Source organism: Homo sapiens, chromosome 17 (assembly GCF_000001405.40).
Source record: "Homo sapiens chromosome 17, GRCh38.p14 Primary Assembly".
Classification (NCBI taxonomy): Eukaryota; Metazoa; Chordata; class Mammalia; order Primates; family Hominidae; genus Homo; species Homo sapiens.
In genome coordinates, this window is record NC_000017.11 from 18,475,795 (window position 1) to 18,496,172 (window position 20,378).

The following is a 20,378-nucleotide window of genomic DNA, read 5'->3' on the forward strand; positions in this document are numbered from 1 at the left end:
GGAAGAGAGGTGCAGACTTACGTATGGCCCTGGGGCACCTGCCATCCCCTCGAGCCTGTATGGTCCTTACCCGCCCATCCCCAGCTTGAGTTCTGGGCCTTCTCGCCAGCACATCGTTGGGACCTGGTCAACTTCAGGTAAGTTTATTTCATGGCTCCCTCTCCCCTCTGCAGCCTATCCTGTTATTCTCTGTTTCAGCCAATTATTTCCCCTAACTAGGTGCTGAAGCCAATTAAAGGCAGTTCATGCCATATGTTCCTTCCCACTCCCATGTCACTTGAAATGTTCTATTATGTCCAATACTTCTCTCCCCATCCTAAAGCTCACAAAATAAGGATGGAGAAGAGAAGAAAGAGAGATTCACTGAGGGGGAGGATCAGAAGCTCCTGGGCACCCCATACTCTAGAATAAAAATCTTCATTATAGTGTTTTTCATGCAAAATATTCCCTTCTACATAATTATGTTTTAACATGAAGAATAGAAATTTAAAGAGGAGAAATACTTCTTGAAGATTCTGAGAATCTTCATATAGCTCAGGCTGCCACGAATTAGCTGTGTGACCTGGGGCATGTCCCTCAGACTCTGAGCCTCAGCTTCTCTATATGTAAAATGAGTTGAAGCCACCCTTCCCCACAAGCACCCTGTGCACAGGCAATACCCAGCCCCATTATTTTCTGGAACCAGTGGCCAAGCATGCTTAGGACACACAGCCACATACTTCTGGGCAGTGTCATCTGGCAACTCACTGTCATGTCAGTGTGGTCAAGCATTGTAGACCTCTATGAACCAAATATGCTTCAGGCTTGGGTTGAGCACAGGAGAGGGAGGAGGGAAAGGTCACTGGGGCTGGGAGTGCCTACTTCCCTCTATGAGTGTCACCCCAGTTCACCCAACACCCTACCTTTCTCTCTCTGGACCCACTTCCTCTTGCTGCCGGCTCCTCCCCATTGAATAACAGCCAAGTTGCTTTGGTTTCTATTACTTTGTTAAGTCATTCCTTCTGCAAAGGACTGCCTGGCAGGTGTCAAAGGCAGTGGTGGCCACAGAGGCGGTGGAGAGATGGCCTTCAGCGGTTGCCAGGCTCCCTATCTGAGCCCAGTGAGTTCCGGGGCCGTGGGCACAGGGCTGCCTCAGCCAGGGGGACACAGTTCTGGGGCTCTGAGGAAGCAACTCCTGGGTGGCAGGAGATAGGGGTGGGGGCATCCCAAAGAGAACACAAGCAGGGCAGAAATGTCAGTGGGGGTCGTCCTGGCACAGCTGTGCCATGCTGAGCTCACTCATGCCTGGAGAGATGCTCCTCCCATGAGTCATGGGTTTGACAGTGTTGGCTGAGCTGTCCTGTCCTGTCCTGTGCGCTCAGGGGAAGAGGTGTAGAGTGGGATGGTTTGTGTAAAGAGGAAGCAAGCATGCTTCTGGGACAGTAAGGATGCTACCCGGCATGGTAGTTAAGGGTGCGTACTGTGGAGTTGGCCTCCCTGGGTCCAGCTATTTACTGGCTGGTGGTCTCTGGGCCTCAGTTTCCATATCTGTGAAGTGGGAATAATACTTGAGCCCCCCACTCCCAGGGTTGGGATATGGATTAAGGAAGTAGTGTATCTAGAGTGTTTGAACAGTGCCTGACACACTGTAGGTGCTTTGGGAGTGTTTCATGTTATTGGGAGTCTGGGTGCAGCAGGGAAGGCCTCCCGAGGAGGTGTCTGTGCTCTGAAGGGTGAGGCGGAGTTAACCAGGCATAGGCATGTCAGGGCATCTGTAGACGGACAGTCTCAGAGGTGACGGAGGCAGGGACTGTCCCTGCAGTGTGGGGTCAGAGGGCTGCAGGTGCCTTGCTGAAACTCTGTGAGGTTTATGAGTCCCCTTCATTCACGGAAAATCCAAGGTTCAGGGAGGCAAAGGCCAGTTGCCAAATGCCCCCAGATGGGAGTGGCAGCCCCAGGAGCCCAGGAGCCTTCAGGGGTGACTGTGTCCTGGGCTGGGTCCTGTCACAGGATCTCACCCTGCCTTGGCAAAGAGCTTCCCGAGGGGCTGGAGTGGGTGGGCTGATGGGCCCTTCCTGAGTGGGGAGGCAGAATGGGGAGGGTGGGCAGAGGCAGGGTGCTGAGGGCAGGGAAGCTGCCAGGGGCCACCTCAGCAGAGGCCAGGGTTGGGCTTGGGTGCCCTCTGGTGATACTGAGTCCAGAATGAGGCTGCCTATGTTCTGGTCTGCAGAGCTCAGCTCTGCTTTCTAGACTCCAGAGAGGAAGAATGGAGAAAGGAGGCCTGTTTCCTCCTGGCTGTCACCAATGACCCCTCAGCCACCCTATGGAAGCCCCCAAGGTAGAACCTGCATAGAGGGAGTGGGGGAAGCTGGAATGGGCTGCCGGTGTTGGGCGAGCCTTAGGGTCAGCGTGTGCCACCTTGAGCATGTCACCCCATTTCTGGTTTTCTGTCAGAGAGGGGATCCCAGAGCTTCTTCCAGGTTCTGACATATTATTATTCTGGTAACTGGTTTTTACTTTCTAATCTTTGGATTCAGAAGGAAAATCCTCCTATGCACATCAGAGAGTTTGAGAGAGTTAAAGCGGGGCCTTGGAGCTCAGACAAGAAAGACGATCAGTGCAGCCCCCACAGGTGTCCAGAGCTCCCCTCTACCCTACGGGGGCTCCCCTGGGTTGGGACACTTGAGCCTCACTCGGTGACCCATCTGGCAGTCGGAGTCACGCTTTCTCCACATGCCGACAGTGGGGGAAGGTCACGCGGTTCATGTCCTGCTGAGGAGGGCTGAGTGCCATGAGGGCCTGGCTTGGAAACCTCACTCCCACTTCTTGTCTGGCCTCATCTAGCCCAGCCTCTTTGGAGGGCTGGGGGGAAGCTGGAACCACCTGCTGTGTGGCCCAGGAAGCACTGCGAGAGCCAGGAATAAGGACGTTCCGAGCTTCCTCATGAGAGGAAGCCTGTGTGGTGGTTAGAAGCGTGGGTGCTGGGGTTCAAATCCCAGCTCTGTTGCCGACCAGCTGTGTAGCTTTGGGCAAGTGACTGAACTTTTCTGTGCCTCAGTTTCCTCATCTGTAAAAGTGGCCGGGGTTGCTGTGAGGATAAATGTTCCCGGTCACCCCCAGAGCCCTCATGGACACACATGGATCCAAATGCCACAGCAGCCTTAGCTGGCCAACTTAAAACAACACATTTGTGCTTACAGTGTTGGAGGTCAGAAGGCTAAAATCAAAGTGTCATGAAAGGTGGCCAGCAGGACCGTGGAGCCTCTGAGGCAACAGGGCACTTTGGCTAAGGGCCACGTACTGGCTCCAGCTGGCAGGCAGTCTCGGCCAGCCAGGCTGAGCTCCCTACTCCTGGGGCCAGGCCTTGGTGTCCTCTGGTGATGCTGAGTCCAGAATGAGGCTGCCCACATTCTGGTCCGCAGGGCTCAGCTCTGCTTTGACTTCCAGGTAGGAAGAAGAGGGAAAGTCCCCGGTCTCTGGGCACAACCAGGAACAGAGAGTAAGTTCTGACTCAGCAGAGGGATTGATTTGTTCCATGCAAAGAGCTGCACTGTCAAGGCCGACATGGGCCAGAGGCTCAGCACATGGCATCGCACCCCGTCCTCTCAGAACGCTGCCAGCCAGGGGCTCAGCACATGGCATTCCACCCAGTCCTCTCCAGAATGCTGCCAGCCAGGGACTCAGCACACAGCATTGCTTCCAGTCCTCTCCAGAACACTGTCGGGTGGTGTTACTGCCCTGCCATTCAGAGGAGGGAAGTGGGGCACAGGCAGGTCAAGTGACTTGGCCAGTGTCAGAATTGCTAGTGTACAGAGCTGGGAGGCGAGCCCAGGCCCATGGGACCACAAATCCAACACAAAAATCCATCCTCCTGCACCCTACGGAGCAAAAGTAGGTCCAGTTGTTTTCCTGGGTTTCCTGGACACACGGATCTAAATTCCACAGCAGCCTTGGCTGGCCAATCTTAAAACAACAAATTTGCTTTCTTAATGATTCTGGAGGGCAGATGTTAAAATCATCGTGTGAGCAAGGTTGTCTCCTTCCGGAGGCTCCAGGGGAGAATCTGTTTCTTTTGCTTTTCCAGCTTCTAGAGGCTGCCTGCCTGCCTTGGCTTATGACCCCTCCTGCCATCTTTAAAACCAGCAGCTTTGTCTGGGTGCAGTGGCTCATGCCTGTAATCCCAGCACTTTGGGAAGCTGAGGCAGGAGGATCTCTTTAGCCCAGGAGTTGGAGACCAGCCTGGGCAACAAACTGAGACTGTGTCTCTACAAAGAATAGACAAAAATTAGCCAGGCATGGTGGTGCATGCCTGTAGTCCCAGCTACCTGGGAGGCTGAGGTGGGAGGATCGCGTGAGCCTGGGGAAGTGGAGGCTGCAGTGAGTTGAGATCATGCCACTGCACTCCAGCCTGGGTGACAGAATGAGATCCTGTCTCAAAAAAAAAAAAAAAAAACACAACAAACAAACAAACAAAACCCCCAAAACCAGCTTCTTGCTTCTGTTGTCACATCTCTTACCTCTGACTTTGATCCTCCTGCTCCCTTTTATGGGACCTTTGTGATTACATTGGGACCACCTGTATAATCCAAGACAATCTCCCCATGCCAAAATTATGCATTTAATCACATCTGCAAAGTCCCTTCTACAACATATTCACAGTTTCCGGGGATTCGAATGTGGATGTTTCTGGGGGGTCGCCCACTGATAACCAGTATTATAAGTTTCTTGTAAATCCTTCCAGAGATATTTTATCTATAAATAAATAAATGCAAGTCCATAGCCTTCCCCTACCCACTTTTTATGCAAATGGCATTATTCCATATCGGTGCTCAGAGTTTTCCTCTTTTTCTTTTTTCTTTTCCGTCTTCTTTTTCTTTTCTTTTGAAAGCTACACAGAACTTATTCTATTATATGGAAATACCCTAATTTATTTCACCTTTTCCCTGTTGGAAGACTTTTAGGCTCCTTCCAATGCTTTGCTTTATAATCCTTTGTGTTATAATGCTGCAATGAATAACCTTGTTTGTTGGATGATATTCAATTTAAAATCTCATTTTTCAGGACAGGCATAGTGGTTCATGTCTGAAATCCCGGCCCTTTGGGAGGCCAAGACAGAAGGATCACTTGAGCCCAGGTGTTCAAGACCAGCCCTGGCAACATATCGAGACCTGGTCTTTTCAAAAAAATTTGAAAATTAGTGGGGCATGGCTTGGTGGCCTGCACTTATTTGGTCTCAGCTGCTCGGGAGGCTGAGGTGGGAGGATTACTTGAGCACAGGAGGTGGAGGCTGCAGTGATCCATGATCACACTCCTCACTACACTCCAGCCTGGGCAACAGAGTGAGAACCCATCTCAAAATAAAATAAAATAAAATAAATAATAAAATAATCTTGTTTTTCAGAAATTGGGGGTGCCATTTAAGACATTTTGAAACCTCACAGAACTTTTTTGGGGAACTTGTTGCCTTGGAGATTAGCCTGCCCTGTCCTGCCCCCATGACCTGTACTTGGTCTTTCTCCCTCCTGGCTTCCTTAGTTAAGCCTTGTGTGGACTTGCGAGCCCATGTCCATCACTCTCTGCCTTCAATTCTAGGTGCTGTGGTGTGAATACGCTTGAGTGGAGGCCGCATGCTTCCCAGGAGGGTGTGTATTTTCAGCGTTGTCTCTCATGATAGAATGAAAGGCTCTGGAGGGAATCACAGGCTGCCACAAACAGGCAAGGGGAAAAATCTTCCACAGACGCGTTTCAGGGACAACAGGCTTCCCAATCCTAGCCCATGCTGGCCCATAACTGGATCAGGCTGACTCTCCTTCCCCCACACCGCTGGTGTAGACAGGGACAAGAAAGAGAAGTCAGAGACACAGAGAAGCTGTGATTTGCTTGAGGTCACCAAAGTATTTAATGGCAGAGTTCAGACCTGACCTGAGGGGCAAGAAAAGACAACCCCCTCAAATCCATGGGGAGCAGAGACTATCTGGATCAGATCTCAGATTGCCTGGGGCTTTCACGGTGCCAGGTGTGTACACTGAGCTAGGATGGGTTTCCCAGGGTGCTGTGTGGTCACATAACTCAACAATACAGACCAGAAAGCAGTGACCAGTAGGCTGAATTTGGCTAGTGGGTGTTTTCTGTTTGGCCTGCACAGTGTTTATTTTAACTTGTTATTATAGGAAATTCAAACATGCAGAGAGAATTGTACCATCAACAACACACACCCATCACTCTGCTCCAACAATGATCAACTCAGGCCTATCTTGCTTCATCCTATACCCTCCCTCGCTTGCTTCTCTTCCCACCTTCAGATATGCGGAAGCAAATCCAGAGATTTCATTCCATTGTAAATATTTCATTGTGTATCTCTACAATGTGGGAATTTGGGGAGTTTCATTTGAGACAGGGTCTCGCTTTGTTGCCCAGGCTGGAGTGCAGTGGTGCAATCGTGGCTCACTACAGCCTCGACCTCCCAGGCTCAAGTGATCCTCCCACCTCAGCCTCCCAAGTAACTGGGGTTAAAGGTGTGCACCACCACATCTGGCCAATTTTTTTATTTTTTGTAGAGATGGGGGTCCCACTATGTTGCCCAGGCTGGCCTAAAACTCCTGGGCTCAAGTGATTGTTTTACCTCAGCCTCCCAAAATGCTGGGATTATAGATGTGAGCCACTGTGCCCAGTCAGGAACTTTTACATAATCCTTTTTGACAAAAGATTTCCCCCAAGAAATTAGAAAGTTTTACAAAAAAAAAAAAAAAAAATTCAGGTTTCTGTCTCATCTTAAAAATTTGGAAGTTCTGCCAATACTAAGCCCAGACGGTAATCATTGGTTAGTGCTGAGAAGATGTTGACTTTTTAGATGAGGCGTGTGACGTCTACTTTGCCACAGTCCCCACCACTCCCTACCTGGCCATCTGACTCATACACATCACCTGCCTGGCTTCTTTAGGCATTTAATTTGTGTAGGAAATTGACCTAAAGGAGATATTAGAGAAGACATTAAAAACTTGAAGAATGTGAAAATCAGCCATGAGATAGAACTGTGCTTTAATGCAGGTTATAGAACCACACCGGATATGAGGCATTTCGGAATAAACTTTGAAAATTGGAAGTACCAGTTTGTGAATTTTGCTCAGAGAGACCAAGGTGGGGGGTGGGTGACAGTGGTGAAGCGTCTCCTCTGTGCCAGTCTCTTCTACCACAGGCTTTTTCTCACAAAATCATCAATCATATGCAGTAGGAGAAACACCTTCCTATTTTACAGATGAGGAAACTGAGGCAAAGAGAGGTGAAATAGGCTTCCCAAGGCCACTCAGGTCAGGAGCAGCAGAGTTAGGATTCAGACCTGGAGTCGGCCTGACTCCAAAACGATGCATGCCTCACCATGGCCCATAGCTCCTTTAAAGAGGCGCGGAAGAGAGAATTTGACAAAGTGCTTGCCCACGGGGCCTGGGATGGGTGGGGAAACTACGCTGGGGCTCGGGGCTGCGGAGGGCATCTGGGAAGAGGCTCTGCTGAAGGTGGTCAGGAGGGCAAAGGTCACGGTGGCCATTGTTATATGGTGGTGGTGGGGAGAGGTGCATGCCTTCTTCTTGACACTCTCTGGTGACCCTCTCGGTGGAACCTGCAGACCCTTGATGGGCCCCTTTGTTCCCTTGGGCCTCCTGAGTCCCCAGCCAGGGCGCTGGGCACTTTGCTGGGAGCTTGGCATGGGGTCCAGCAGCCCCATTGCTACCTAGTTCCTTACCAGCCCAGGGCGTCTGCCTGCTACTTCCCTGCCTGGAAGGAAGGCCTTCCGCCTGGAGCGTTCCTGGTGTGGCCTCCGCTGCCTCTCAGACTCTCACACAAGCTCAGCTCCCTGTCGCGTCCTCTCAGGGCCAGGATTCTCCTTATCACAAGCTTAGACTGTCTGAGTAACTAATTGGATTTGTGTCTGCCTCCACACAGGACCCTAAGACCCGTGGGGCTGAGACTCCTTCTGTCCTGGTCACAGCTGCACCCTAGCCCCTCGCATGGTGCGGTCACACCCAGGCCAGCCACTGACTAGCCCCGAAGGGGAGCAAACAGGAGGCCGGCCACCTGACTGAGGCCCCATGTCTTCTCCCTGCAGGCCGTCCCCTTTTCTGGGACTATCCAAGGGGGTCTCCAGGACGGATTTCAGATCACTGTCAATGGGGCCGTTCTCAGCTGCAGTGGAACCAGGTGTGTGTATATGGATGGAAACGTTTCACTCCAGCCTCGTCCCTTAGTAAAGCCACTGTGCCTGTGAGCCTCGGCTAGTTCAAACAACAACATCCAAGCTCACGTGCCTGGCGCAGGGGAGACCCAATGCATCCTTAACCCATGCCACAGGACAGCACTCCACAGGCACAACCTGCACCCAGGGATGCCATTAACCTGGACTCCAGGATGAATGGGGCCCTGGGAGCTGAAGGTCTAAGGAAGGAGTGGGATGGTCAGAGTTGGATGATTATGTTCTGGGCTGAACCTTGCACACTGTGACTGAGAGTTGCAAAAATCAAACTTCCTCCGTTTCCCATAACTGCTCTCATCCACTCTGAAGCTCTCCTTCTGCTGACATGAAAATACTGAAAATTGACATCCGAAGTAATTTGGTCTCTTTCGGTTTCAAGGCCTTTTCTGGAAACTACTAAGTCCATTCAAAATACTAACATTGTATCAGGGCTGTTTCCCACCCCTTCCTCCCTCCCAAGGTGGGCTGTCTGGGAACAGAGAGGAGCTCACGTGGCTTGTCAGTGGCTGGGAGGGCCCCCGACCCTCACGCAGGCCTGGCTGACCCCTGCCGAGGCATCCTGACTGGGTGGCACAGAGGTGTGCAGCTCTCTCCTGGTTTAGTGAGGGACCACGGGTGGCTGCCTGCTGAAGTCTGCGGGGCCCACAGAAGAGCCTCTGGACTCATGGCTCTCTCTCGGAAGCCTCTCTGCCTCAGTCCCAGCGGACCTCTCTTAAGACCCTCTGGGCCTCGTAGATGCCAGCTCAACCTCAGCTCCGCCACCTAGATTCTTGATGACCTCCTCCGCCATTGCCATCCTGCTGTCGGACTTCTCTGAGAGCCTGCAGTGCCCCCAGGAGATGCCAAGGGCAGGGAGGCCCTGATCCCCCTGAATCCTCCAACCGGGGGAATCAGAACCATGCCTCTGATCTTCCACCCCTTCCTCTTTCCCTCTCCCTCTGTTTCCCCCACCTCCCAGCACCAGGAGGGCTTCCCACTCCCATCCTGTTGCACGGAGACAGATCCTACCTCAGAGGGCCCTCTCCTCTCAGGAGCTTTCTGTCTCTCCCTTCCTTGGGGCAGGAATTTCCAAAGGGCCACAGGAATGAAGCTGAAGGTCTCCAAAGGAAAAAAATACATGCAGTGATATTTCAAATGCAATCTTCTCCATTTATTCATTTAATTAATTTATTTTTTTCTTTAGAGACAGGGACTTTTTTCTTTCACCCAGGCTGGAGTGCAGTGGTACGATCATAGCTCACTGCAGCCTCGACTTCCTGGGCTCAAGGGATCCTCCCATCTCATCCCCCAGAGCAGCTGGGACTGTAGACATGCATCATGATGTCTAGCTAATTAAATATATATATATATCTTTTTGTTTTTTAAGTAGAGATGAGATCTCGCTCTGTTGCTCAGGCTGGTCTTCAACTCCTGGGCTCAAGTGATCCACCCACCTTGGCGTCCCAAAGTGCTGTGATTACAGGCGTGAGGCACTGCGCCCGGCCCCGATTTCACATGCTCTTTACATTTGTTCTCTTCTTTCGCACTTAATCAGGCATGTGCTGGCCTCCAACAAGTGTCCACTGGCACAGAAGCCTCTCTCTTCTAGGTGTGCTTAACAACTTCCATCTTTGTTACCAACTGGTAATCACTTTCCAGGACCTATGCTTCTTGTTTGCTAATGCCAGCACTTTCCCTTAGCCATTTTCTACTTATGTTTAGAAAATCGTGCTGTAAAGGCAAAATGCAATAATCGCACAAAAACACATTGGATCCAAATTAGAGAAACAAAAAGGATGCCAACCAAGCAGTCTCTGCCACGCAGGTTGTATGCAAGATCCCAGACAAACACAGGGCAGAGGCACCGAGGCCCTCCTGTGCCTGTCACTGGCAATAATCCATGCCACAGAAGACTATTTGCTTTTCCTGGGCCTAGGTTTGCTGTGGACTTTCAGACGGGCTTCAGTGGAAACGACATTGCCTTCCACTTCAACCCTCGGTTTGAAGACGGAGGGTATGTGGTGTGCAACACGAGGCAGAAAGGAACATGGGGGCCCGAGGAGAGGAAGATGCACATGCCCTTCCAGAAGGGGATGCCCTTTGACCTCTGCTTCCTGGTGCAGAGCTCAGATTTCAAGGTAAGCAGGAATCCCCTCCCCACCTCTCGCCCACGGGACTCCCAGCCCTATCAGGTGAATGTGAATGGCCTTTTAAGTAACCACTTTAATTGACATTCAGCCAGAGTGACACCACCATACAGATAACATGACCATTTCCTTGTAAGGGTGTTACCCATGGCTGTGTAGTCTCCTTACGCACCTTCACCTGAATCTACAGGTGCACCTCCTGCTTCTTTTACTCTGAAAATAAGAACTAGAGGAGTCATCACGTTGCTGTTAGGTGTTGTGTGTCTTTGAATTCCAAGCTCATTCCATTCCTCTGCTATCACCATACCTCCTCTCCAGGTCCCTGGTAACATTTATTTTTCAGCGACATTGTTCCAGCCCTTATCCAGAGTCTATTACGGTTATAGTTCTGTAAGCACATTGCAAATTACCTTTGCAAGCACAGTAGGTCTCTGGGCTTGAGAAGCCGGTGGGTAACTCAGTCTGAATATGCTTATCTGAGATAAGGATGTTCCCATCCATTCAGTATGCAACCCGATGTCACCTCTCCTCTGCTCCCCGTGAGCATTTTATGCATATTTAAATAATACCCCTGCAGTCCTAAAAAGGAATGAGATCATGTCCTTTACAGGAACATGGATGGAGCTGGAAGCCGTTGCAGGAGCAGAAAACCAAACACCGCAAGTTCTCACTTATAAGTAGGAGCTGAACGATGAGAACACATGGACACAAGCGGGGAAACAACACACACTGGGGCCTGGTCGGGGACGGAGAGCATCAGGAAGATTAGCTAATGGATGCTGGGCTTGATACCAAGGTGAAGGGTTGATCTGTGCAGCAAAACACTGTGGCACACATTTACCTAGTTAACAAACCTGCAGATCCTATACTCATACCCTGGAACTTAAAATAAAAGTTGAAGGGGCTGGGCACGGCGGCTCACCCTTATAATCCAAGCACTTTGGGAGGGTGAGGAGGACAGATGGCTTGAGGTCAGGAGTTCAAGACCTGCCTGGCCAACATGGTGAAATCCCGTCTCTACTAAAAATACAAACATTAGCTTGGTGTGGTGGTGGATGCCTGTAATCCCAGCTACTCGGGAGGCTGAGGCAGGAGAATCGCTTGAACCACTGCACTGCAGCCTGGCTGACAGAGTGACACTCTATCTCAAAAAAAAAAAAAAAAAGTTGAAGGAAAAATAATAAATAAATGAAACCCCAGGAAATTCAGTTTGGTTCCTGAGCATGGGCTCTTTCTGGAACAATATGGCCTCCTAACCAGGCTGGAAATCGAGGAGTGAGAAGAAAGGGGAAGGAAACAACCAGAAGAATGGAAAGCCCGACTGGAGCCCAGTAGAGACTCCGGTTGATGCACTTCGGGCCACACACACGTCCCTGTAACTGGCCCCACACTGAAGACCAGACTCAGGTCTTCATTTTTTAGAAGGAGGGACCAGGAGCTCAGGGGTGGTCCCCATCCCGGCCTGGGGCACCTCCCCCGAAATACGTGCTCTCCTCTGGCAGGTGATGGTGAACGGGAGCCTCTTCGTGCAGTACTTCCACCGCGTGCCCTTCCACCGTGTGGACACCATCTCCGTCAATGGCTCTGTGCAGCTGTCCTACATCAGCTTCCAGGTCAGACTGTCCACCTGGCACCGGTCCCAGGGGCTGGGATGCAGGGCCCAGCGTAGCTGTGCTTAGGCCCAGCTGGGGGGACCCAAGCCAATCTCCTACCCAGGTCACTCTGGGGACAACCTCTGCTTCCCTGTCCCAGTACCTGCCCGCCCCTTCTCCTCTGTCACTCTGCCCCTCCTTCTGTGTCACTGTCTCTGTCTGGAACACCTGCCTTGGTCTCCCAGACTCCTCAGCTGCCCCTTTCTCTTCATCCGTCAATTTCCATCCTGGTAAGGAGGGCATATTGTTCTAGAAAGAGCCCAGGCTCAAGAACCAAACTGAATCCAGTTCAAATTCCCAGCTCTGCCATTCGTCATCTGTGGGATCTTAGACAAGCAACTTTGCCTCTCTCAGCCTCAGTTTTGTCATCTGTAGAATGAGCATGGTCATTGCCTGCCCCCCATGGGTGGTTGTGTGATTCATTGAGGAGACAGATATCAGAGGTCACACAATGGCGCCCCTGGGCCCACACCAGGGTCTGTGTGACCTCTGTGTTTTAAAAACTTTGAATGCGTTGCCAACATCTAAAAGGTCAGGAGACCCAGGTATGGTGGTGGAGGTCTGCAATCCTGGTTACTCAAGAGGCTGAGGCAGGAGAATCGCTTGAGCCCAGGAATTAGAGTTCTGCCTGAGCAACATAGCAAGACCCCATCTCTAAAATCTTTTTGTTTGAATAATAAAATAAAATAAATAAAACTAAAGAAGGTCAGGAGATACCAACACCACGTGAAAAATGGGAAGATTAGGGTATGCTGGGCCCACATTCCCACAGGGCACCGGCAGCTGGATGGGAGCTGCTGTTACCCTTTTGGCATTCAAGGGAGCTCCCTGAGATGAGCGAAGTGCACAGTAGGCCCTCAGCAAATCTGGGCTCCTCACCCTTTGGTCCTCATCTCTCATTCCCTCCTTCCCTGACTCTCTCCCCTGCGGGTGGAAGGGGAGGGAAGAGCTGGAGGGAGACTGTCCCCCTGCGCTGCTCACCGAAGCCTGGCCCTTTCCGCTCCCGCCTCCGTGTGGCCCTAACCCCCTTGCTGCATCCCCCTGCCTGCCTGTTCTCTGCCTCCTGCCCCTGCATCTGCCTTTCGGCTTCTCCTTGGCTCTATTAATGCTTCTCCTCACCGGCCGGTGCCTTTTGTTTTAACAGAATCCCCGCGCAGTCCCCGTTCAGCCTGCCTTCTCCACGGTGCCGTTCTCCCAGCCTGTCTGTTTCCCACCCAGGCCCAGGGGGCGCAGACAAAAAGTGAGTTCAACACAGAGGCCCTGGGTGGCTGAGCAGACAGCAGGAAGGACCGAGGGTTTGAGAGGCTGGCCCCAGCCAGCAGGCCACCAGGGCCTATGGGCCACATCTTGCCCACTCAAGAGTTCCCTGTCTCTGTCTGCTGGGCACCCAGAGCCGGGGACCTGGGTGTTGCCCTGGATTCTTCACTACCCTTTCTTTATGTCTCTCCAAGGCACCAACATATCTCCCTCCCAAAGCCACCGATGTGGCCCAGGCCTCTGGGATTCCTCACCATGACTACAGGGGTCCAGTTCCCCACCCCCCACACCCAACCGCTGCCACAGTGACCTTCTTATAAGCAAATCTGATCACACTCTCTCCCTGCTTAAAAATCTTAAAAGTCCCCAGCCCTTTAAACAAAGCCCAAATTCCCCAGCAGGGCATACGAATTCCTCCCCAGTCTGGCCCCAGTCCACCTCCTTGCCTCACCCCCAACCCACGAAGCTCATGCAACCTCCACGGCTCACTCAAGGCCCTCTCGGGCCACCATGCTTTTGCATATGCTGTCCCTGGTCCCGGAAGCACCCTCTGCCAGCCTGCCCTCAGCACACGCCTAATCGCCCTTCCATGCTCTGCCAAAGTGTCGCTCCTCTGGGAGTCCTCCCTGCCCAGAATATTGTTGGATGCTCCCCCCATGCCCCCACGGAGTCTGTACATATCTGTGCCATGCCAGTTCACAGCACCCCATTGTAACTGTTTGCGTGTCTGTCCCTGTCACTCCACCCCCATCTCCCTATGCCCATGAGGCCCCAGAGGGCTGGGACTGTGGGTCGTTCATTTGCACAGTGCCTGGCACTCACTTAGGGACTCGAAGAATGGATGAATGTGGAATGTGGTTTTCGCAGCCAGGGAGAATGGGATACCAGCCAGGGCAAGAACAGTCTACTGGGTGGGGCAGGATCCACGACAAGGAGGTGGGCAGCCCTTCCTCTGGCCACTCAAGCAGTGGGGACTGGGAGGAGGGGCGCTTTGTCTATGTAGCCTTTTTATGGCCCATGATGGTACAGACAGTGCACCTGCCTCCTGCCACGCTGACTTCAGGACTGGTGGAGCCCCAGGGAACATTCGCAGGGCAGCCAAACTTTGGCCCTGGCCCTGGCGCTGGCCCTGGCCCTAGGGATGACAGAAAGTGTGCTGGATACAGTCAGACAGAATTGGCTGCCATTTTGGATTTGATCCCTTCCACCCGGGCAAGCTTGGGCAAGTTGCTTAATCTTTCTGAGCCTCATTGCCTCACCAGGGACACAGGAGCTGAGGCTGCTTCCCTCTTTGGAAAGCACTGAAGCCCAGGACTCGGCCCACAATAGGCCTTCAACAAATACCACTTCTCAGCTTACGGGTGAAATATGGCACCGGAAGTAATGCTCTTGGCTGTGGGAGCTACAGACAGCAATGAGGTCTCTATCAAACCCAGCCTCCTCTCTCTCGAGAGGAACCAGTGGGGATACCCTACCCCTCAACCCCAAAGCCTTGTGCACCTGAGGGTAAAAATCTGGGTGCCACGGGCTCAGGAAGGCTTGCTTGGGAGCAAGAGGGAGGTGGGTGTGTCTGGGGAGGCATTTCTGAGCACAAGAGCCTCCCTGGAGTTCTGCCATCGTCTCTCCCCGTTCTGTGGTGCCCGCAATAACCACCGTTCTGACTCTCCTCACCCCTCCAGCCTCCCAGCGTGCGGCCTGCCAACCCAGCTCCCATTGTAAGTCTCTTGCTTTCTTTTTGGATCCTCTTGATTTTGGCTCTTCTTCTGGGCTAATGGAGGATGCAGGGCCAGGCATTGGGCCTCTCCCATCGGGAGTGGGGAGGGCAGAGGCCAGGCCCTTGACCATCTACCCGGCCTGGCGAGGTTGGTGGGTGAATGTGGTTGGCTGGCCGTGATGGAACAACCTGAGTTGCCACTCCATGGGCAGCCACGGAAGACCATGCCCCACGTTCACTTCTCTCACCTGCAAAGGGAGGCTAGGCTGAGAGACGTTTCCCCGAGAGGAAAGATGGGCCAGAGCCACCAGCGTCCCCATCTGTCTTCTCCAGGGTCCTAACCTTTGCCTCTCCCTCGTCCCCTGGACCCACCCTCCGTGGGGTCTGTGGGGCCACTGGGCTGGTTATGCCCCTGGAGGGTGCCTGCCGTGTGGCACCCTCTGGTGGGAGCTGGGGTGGTCTTTACTCAGGAGAGCCTGGGTGAGACCTGGTTTCTTTCTTCCAGACCCAGACAGTCATCCACACGGTGCAGAGTGCCTCTGGACAGATGTTCTCTGTAAGTCTTCAAGTTCTGATCAGTTCACAGCTGCACAGTGCCCTCCTTCCCCAAGAACTAAACTCCCTAGAGCCCTAGAGTTGGGAAGAAAGCGGTTTAGCAAGGAGGGTGGGGACATCTGGGGCTGAGTCCTTGGCTCAGGTGACATGTGGTTAAAACTATCCTTGGGACAGCAGAGATTCTGGATTTATCCAGTGGTGGAAGAGGCAGGTTCCCTAGAGACTGGGAGGGAAACTGGTCCTTCTGTCACCAAGTGGGGAGTGCAGTGGCCCCAGCACCCGGATGTGAGGTTCCTGGCCCTGCCTCCTGGGTCCCCGGGATGTCACTACAGATCACAGGCTTAAGCTCTTCTCCTGCTGGTGCAAATCAGGCCGGGAACTTAGCATTAGTGGGGCTGCCTGCGGAGGGGCTGAGGGGCAGGTGACCATGGTGGGGTCTGGGAACACGGCAGGAAGTTCCAGGAAGGCTAACATGAAAACGGAGGTTTACGGGAGAGTCCAAGGGCCAAAGGCTCATGAGGTCAGCCTCACAGTGGAGCCCCCTCTAGAATGCGTGGGTGCGCGTGGGTGAGTGCTCGCGCACACATGCGCTCTCCCATTGAATTTCCTGGTTTCTTTTCAGCAGACTCCCGCCATCCCACCTATGATGTACCCCCACCCTGCCTATGTAAGTGGTTTCTCAGGGAGGGCAGAGGTTCTGTTTGTGGTGGGCAGGCTAGGGATGAAGGGCCGCTACGGGGGGATCCGCTGGCCTTGAAAAATGAAAAGCGAAGGGCTTTCAAAATGGTAAGCTGAAGGGCTTCAAAGCGTCCCAGTGAATTAGAAGACTGTGGAGAGGAGCTTTCAACCTTAAAACTGTCGTGTCAACGTGAGCACATTGCATGGCCCTCCCTTTTCACCCCACGAGTCTTTCTTTCTGTGTTTGGCCAAATTTCCTTTCATGACACTAATCTAAGCCCATTAATTTGAGGAGCACCGGAAAGTTTTCCTTTGGCTTTTATGGAACCAAGGAAAGATATCGTGGGCTTCTTCTCAGCTGACAGCCTAAATTCATGGGAACTGGTACAATCTTCCCCTTCCATGTGGCGGCTGCCCTGACTGCCACTGGCTGACCTGTCCCCGTCCTTCTGACAGCCGATGCCTTTCATCACCACCATTCCGGGAGGGCTGTACCCATCCAAGTCCATCATCCTGTCAGGCACTGTCCTGCCCAGTGCTCAGAGGTAAGCCAAAGGCTCCAGTGACCTCTGGGAAGAGAGAGCCCTTCAAGGTCATTCCAGCCATTCCCCTGGCTTTTGGCAGGCTGGGGATGATGGGGAGGAAATGGGGCTCAGAACTCAGTGGACAAAGGTCCAGGTAGGCTGCCCACCCCAGGTTCCACATCAACCTGTGCTCTGGGAGCCACATCGCCTTCCACATGAACCCCCGTTTTGATGAGAATGCTGTGGTCCGTAACACCCAGATCAACAACTCTTGGGGGTCTGAGGAGCGAAGTCTGCCCCGAAAAATGCCCTTCGTCCGAGGCCAGAGCTTCTCGGTAAGGCGCCGCAGCCTGGAGCTTGAGGAGGCTCCTATGGGTACACGGGGAGGGGGTAAAGGAGGTCTGGGGTACCTTGAACAGGATGGGAGCTGATGCCTCTGGGATGAGGGCCCAGAAGAAAAGGTGGCCAAAAAATTATTGTCATTATTATTAATAATTATTACTGTCCTGCATGAAGGAAGCGTTGGGATCTGCTTTTTTAGATGAGGAAAGAAACTCACAAGTGCAGGTTACTTGCTTGCGGTCACACAGTCAGTAAGTGTCAAATCAGACCCAAGAAGGAGGTGTTATTCATTTCTTCACTGACTCATTCAACGATTTCACTGTCGCCCGCTTTGTGCAGGAAGCACTCCACATGCTGGGAGCGCAGTCATGAAGCAGACACGTAGGGTCCTTCCTCCAGAGAGTTTACAATTTAGCTGGGGGAAGGAACAAGGAAACTAAAGCATGAACAGATTGTTGCAGATAACAACAGTGCCACGCAGAAAGCAAAACAGAGCGATGAGATAGAGCGAGCCTGGGAGGGGCAGCTAGGGCCAACATGCAGAGGTGTGGGTGTGGCCTCTCCAGGAACAGCAGCAGGCGTGCTCCGCCCTGACTACACATTCAAATCACCCAGAGAGCTTACAAAGAACATATAGGTGCTGGGACCCCAGCCCAGGCCAATGAGGCGGTCAGCCTGGGCATTTGTATTTTTAAAATATGCCTGAAGTGATTACACTCTGCAATCAGAGTTGAAAATGACTGATGTAGGGCTTTGCAGCCATGGAGCCAGGGAGCAACATTCTTTGATTTGTGGACAGCTGTGTGACCTCGGGCAAGTGACTTAGCTACTCTGTGCTTCAGTTTCCTCATCTACAAAATGGAGCTAATAATCATATGAATCTCCTAGAGCTGTAAGAATGGAATGAGGCAGTATCTGTAGCACGCTTAGGACAGTGCCTTACACATGGCATGTGTGTTAGGAGTGTCAGCTATTGCAAAGGGCAGGAGGTTTTAACATTTGTACCCTGACTGCCTCATGGAGAAGGCATTGGGGTGGAAAAGACAAGTTAGGAGGCTGATGCTGCAGGAGCCCAGGCCCAGAGCACTCCTGTGTGCTGGGTCCGAGGGATACAGATGGCACAGGCCAGTGCTCCTGTCCCTGATGTCGTGGGAACAGTATTCTACGCCAGGGAACAGTACAGGGGAAGGAGCACGCACAGCCTGTTTAGTGAAGAGCCGGTCGCTCAGTGGGGATAGAGTGCAGGTGAGGGGCTTATTAACAACTGAGGAGGGAGGGAGGGAGGGAGAGAGGAGGCTGCAGTGAGGGTGGAGGACTTCCCAAGTGTAGTGCAAACGGCATAATCTCTGCACAGGTGTGGATCTTGTGTGAAGCTCACTGCCTCAAGGTGGCCGTGGATGGTCAGCACGTGTTTGAATACTACCATCGCCTGAGGAACCTGCCCACCATCAACAAACTGGAAGTGGGTGGCGACATCCAGCTGACCCACGTGCAGACATAGGCGGCTCCCTGGCCCTGGGGCCGGGGGCTGGGGTGTGGGGCAGTCTGGGTCCTCTCATCATCCCCACTTCCCAGGCCCAGCCTTTCCAACCGTGCCTGGGATCTGGGCTTTAATGCAGAGGCCATGTCCTTATCTGGTCCTGCTTCTGGCTACAGCCACCCTGGAATCGAGAAGGCAGCTGACTGGGATTGCCTTCCTCAGCCGCAGCAGCACCTGGGGCGCCAGCTGCTGGAATCCTACAATCCCAGAAGGCGGGCACAGCCAGGGAGAGGGGAGGAGTGGGCAGTGAAGATGAAGCCCCATGCTCAGTCCCCTCCCATCCCCCACGCAGCTCCACCCCAGTCTCAAGCCACCAGCTGTCTGCTCCTGGTGGGAGATGGCCTCCTCAGCCCCTCCTCTCTGACCTTTAACCTCACTCTCACCTTGCACCCTGCACCAACCCTTCACCCCTCCTGGAAAGCAGGCCTGATGGCTTCCCACTGGCCTCCACCAACTGACCAGAGTGTTCTCTTCAGGGGACTGGCTCCTTTCCCAGTGTCCTTAAAATAAAGAAATGAAAATGCTTGTTGGCACATTCATGTGGGTTGACTGTGGCTTCTTTAATTCATTTGGAGACATTTTGGAATCTGTGGAATCAGGCGGAGGGGCTGCTGAGAGGAGTGGGATGGGAGAGCATGGACTCCCTTTGGGCAGGGGGTCCTGACCTCACAACTCCTAATTAAAAAAGGATTAATGGCCGGGTATGCTGGCTCACGCCTGTAATCCCAGCACTTTGGGAGGCTGAGGCAGGTGGATCACCTGAGGTTGGGAGCTCGTGACTCGCCTGTCCAACATGAAGAAACCCCATCTCTACTAAAAATACAAAATTAGCCAGGCGTGGTGGTGCACACCTGTAATTCCGTCTACCTGGGAGGCTGAGGCAGGAGAATGGCTTGAACCTGGGAGGTGGAGGTTGCAGTGAGCCGCAATTGCGCCATTGAACTCCAGCCTGGGCAACAAGAGTGAAACTCTATCTCAAAAACAAACAAACAAACAAAAAAACGAAAAACGAGCTGGGCATGGTGGTGGTGGCGGTGGGTATCTGTAGTCCCAGTTACTTGGGAGGCTGAGACACAAGAATCACTTTAACCCGGGAGGCAGAGGTTGCAGTGAGCCGAGACTGCACCACTGCACTCCAGCCTGGGTGACAGAGCAAGGCTCTGTCAAAAAAAAAAAAACAAAAAAGGAAGCCAATGCATGGGCTCCTCTGGTGGCCACAGGGTCTAGAATTATCAGGTCTCAGGGATGACTTCACCAGGGCAGTGTGGAAGGGAAATGTGGGGTTGAAGCCCCCACACAGAGCCCCCTCTGGGCCAGTGTCTAGGGGAGCTATGAGAAGAGAGCCACCGTCCCATGAGGGTGTTGGAGAAAGCAGGCTGGGGCTCTAGTCTTTTGGGCAGGAGTCTCGGACACAGGAAAGGTGGTAATGGGGGACCCCAGGAAACAGCCCCATGCCTCTGAGATGGGAGGCGGGCTGGGGCAGAGCCTGTGAGGGCCACAGCAGGGCCAGAGCTGGCTCCTCGGACCTGGCATCCCAGTGGGAGGAGGTGGCTTGGGGAAGGGGTGTCAGGAGAGGCCGACCCGAAGCACCGTATGGGTGTGTGTTCCATTGTGGGTCTCCCTGGCAATAGGGTTAGGACTCGCATGAGAAAAGTGGCTCAGTGTCCATGTGTGGGGTTCTGCCAGCCACTGAGCCACCGCCAGACAGCCCAGCTCCGCGTCAACGTGATGCCAATACATCCTGCTTGGCCCAGCAAGAATACAGT

The 20,378-nt window shown here is 52.9% G+C and overlaps 1 protein-coding gene across 11 annotated transcripts, besides 1 other annotated feature; it reads left to right on the forward strand.

The window, feature by feature from the left end:
• The first annotated feature begins 994 nt into the window (after window positions 1-994).
• On the forward strand, window positions 995-19,151 carry LGALS9C (galectin 9C). Of its 11 annotated transcripts, none has more exons than NM_001040078.3 (11): window positions 995-1,099; window positions 8,081-8,172; window positions 10,140-10,341; window positions 11,853-11,963; window positions 13,147-13,242; window positions 14,939-14,974; window positions 15,479-15,529; window positions 16,151-16,195; window positions 16,663-16,751; window positions 16,903-17,065; window positions 18,427-19,151. In NM_001040078.3, the coding sequence occupies exons 1-11, from the start codon at window positions 1,061-1,063 to the stop codon at window positions 18,571-18,573; spliced, it is 1,071 nt and encodes a 356-aa protein (NP_001035167.2). In that variant the 5' UTR covers window positions 995-1,060; the 3' UTR covers window positions 18,574-19,151. The 11 variants fall into 11 exon arrangements, with proteins under 11 accessions (NP_001035167.2, NP_001425850.1, NP_001425847.1 ...); NM_001438921.1 differs by having other exon boundaries at window positions 16,991-17,065; NM_001438918.1 differs by having other exon boundaries at window positions 16,154-16,195.
• Window positions 17,576-17,675: a silencer, noted in NCBI's record as "silent region_8278". NCBI's record gives its function as "represses an Ori minimal core promoter by ATAC-STARR-seq in GM12878 lymphoblastoid cells {active_cell/tissue: GM12878}" and the evidence as "EXISTENCE:reporter gene assay evidence [ECO:0000049][PMID:35858748]".
• Window positions 19,152-20,378: the final 1,227 nt, after the last annotated feature.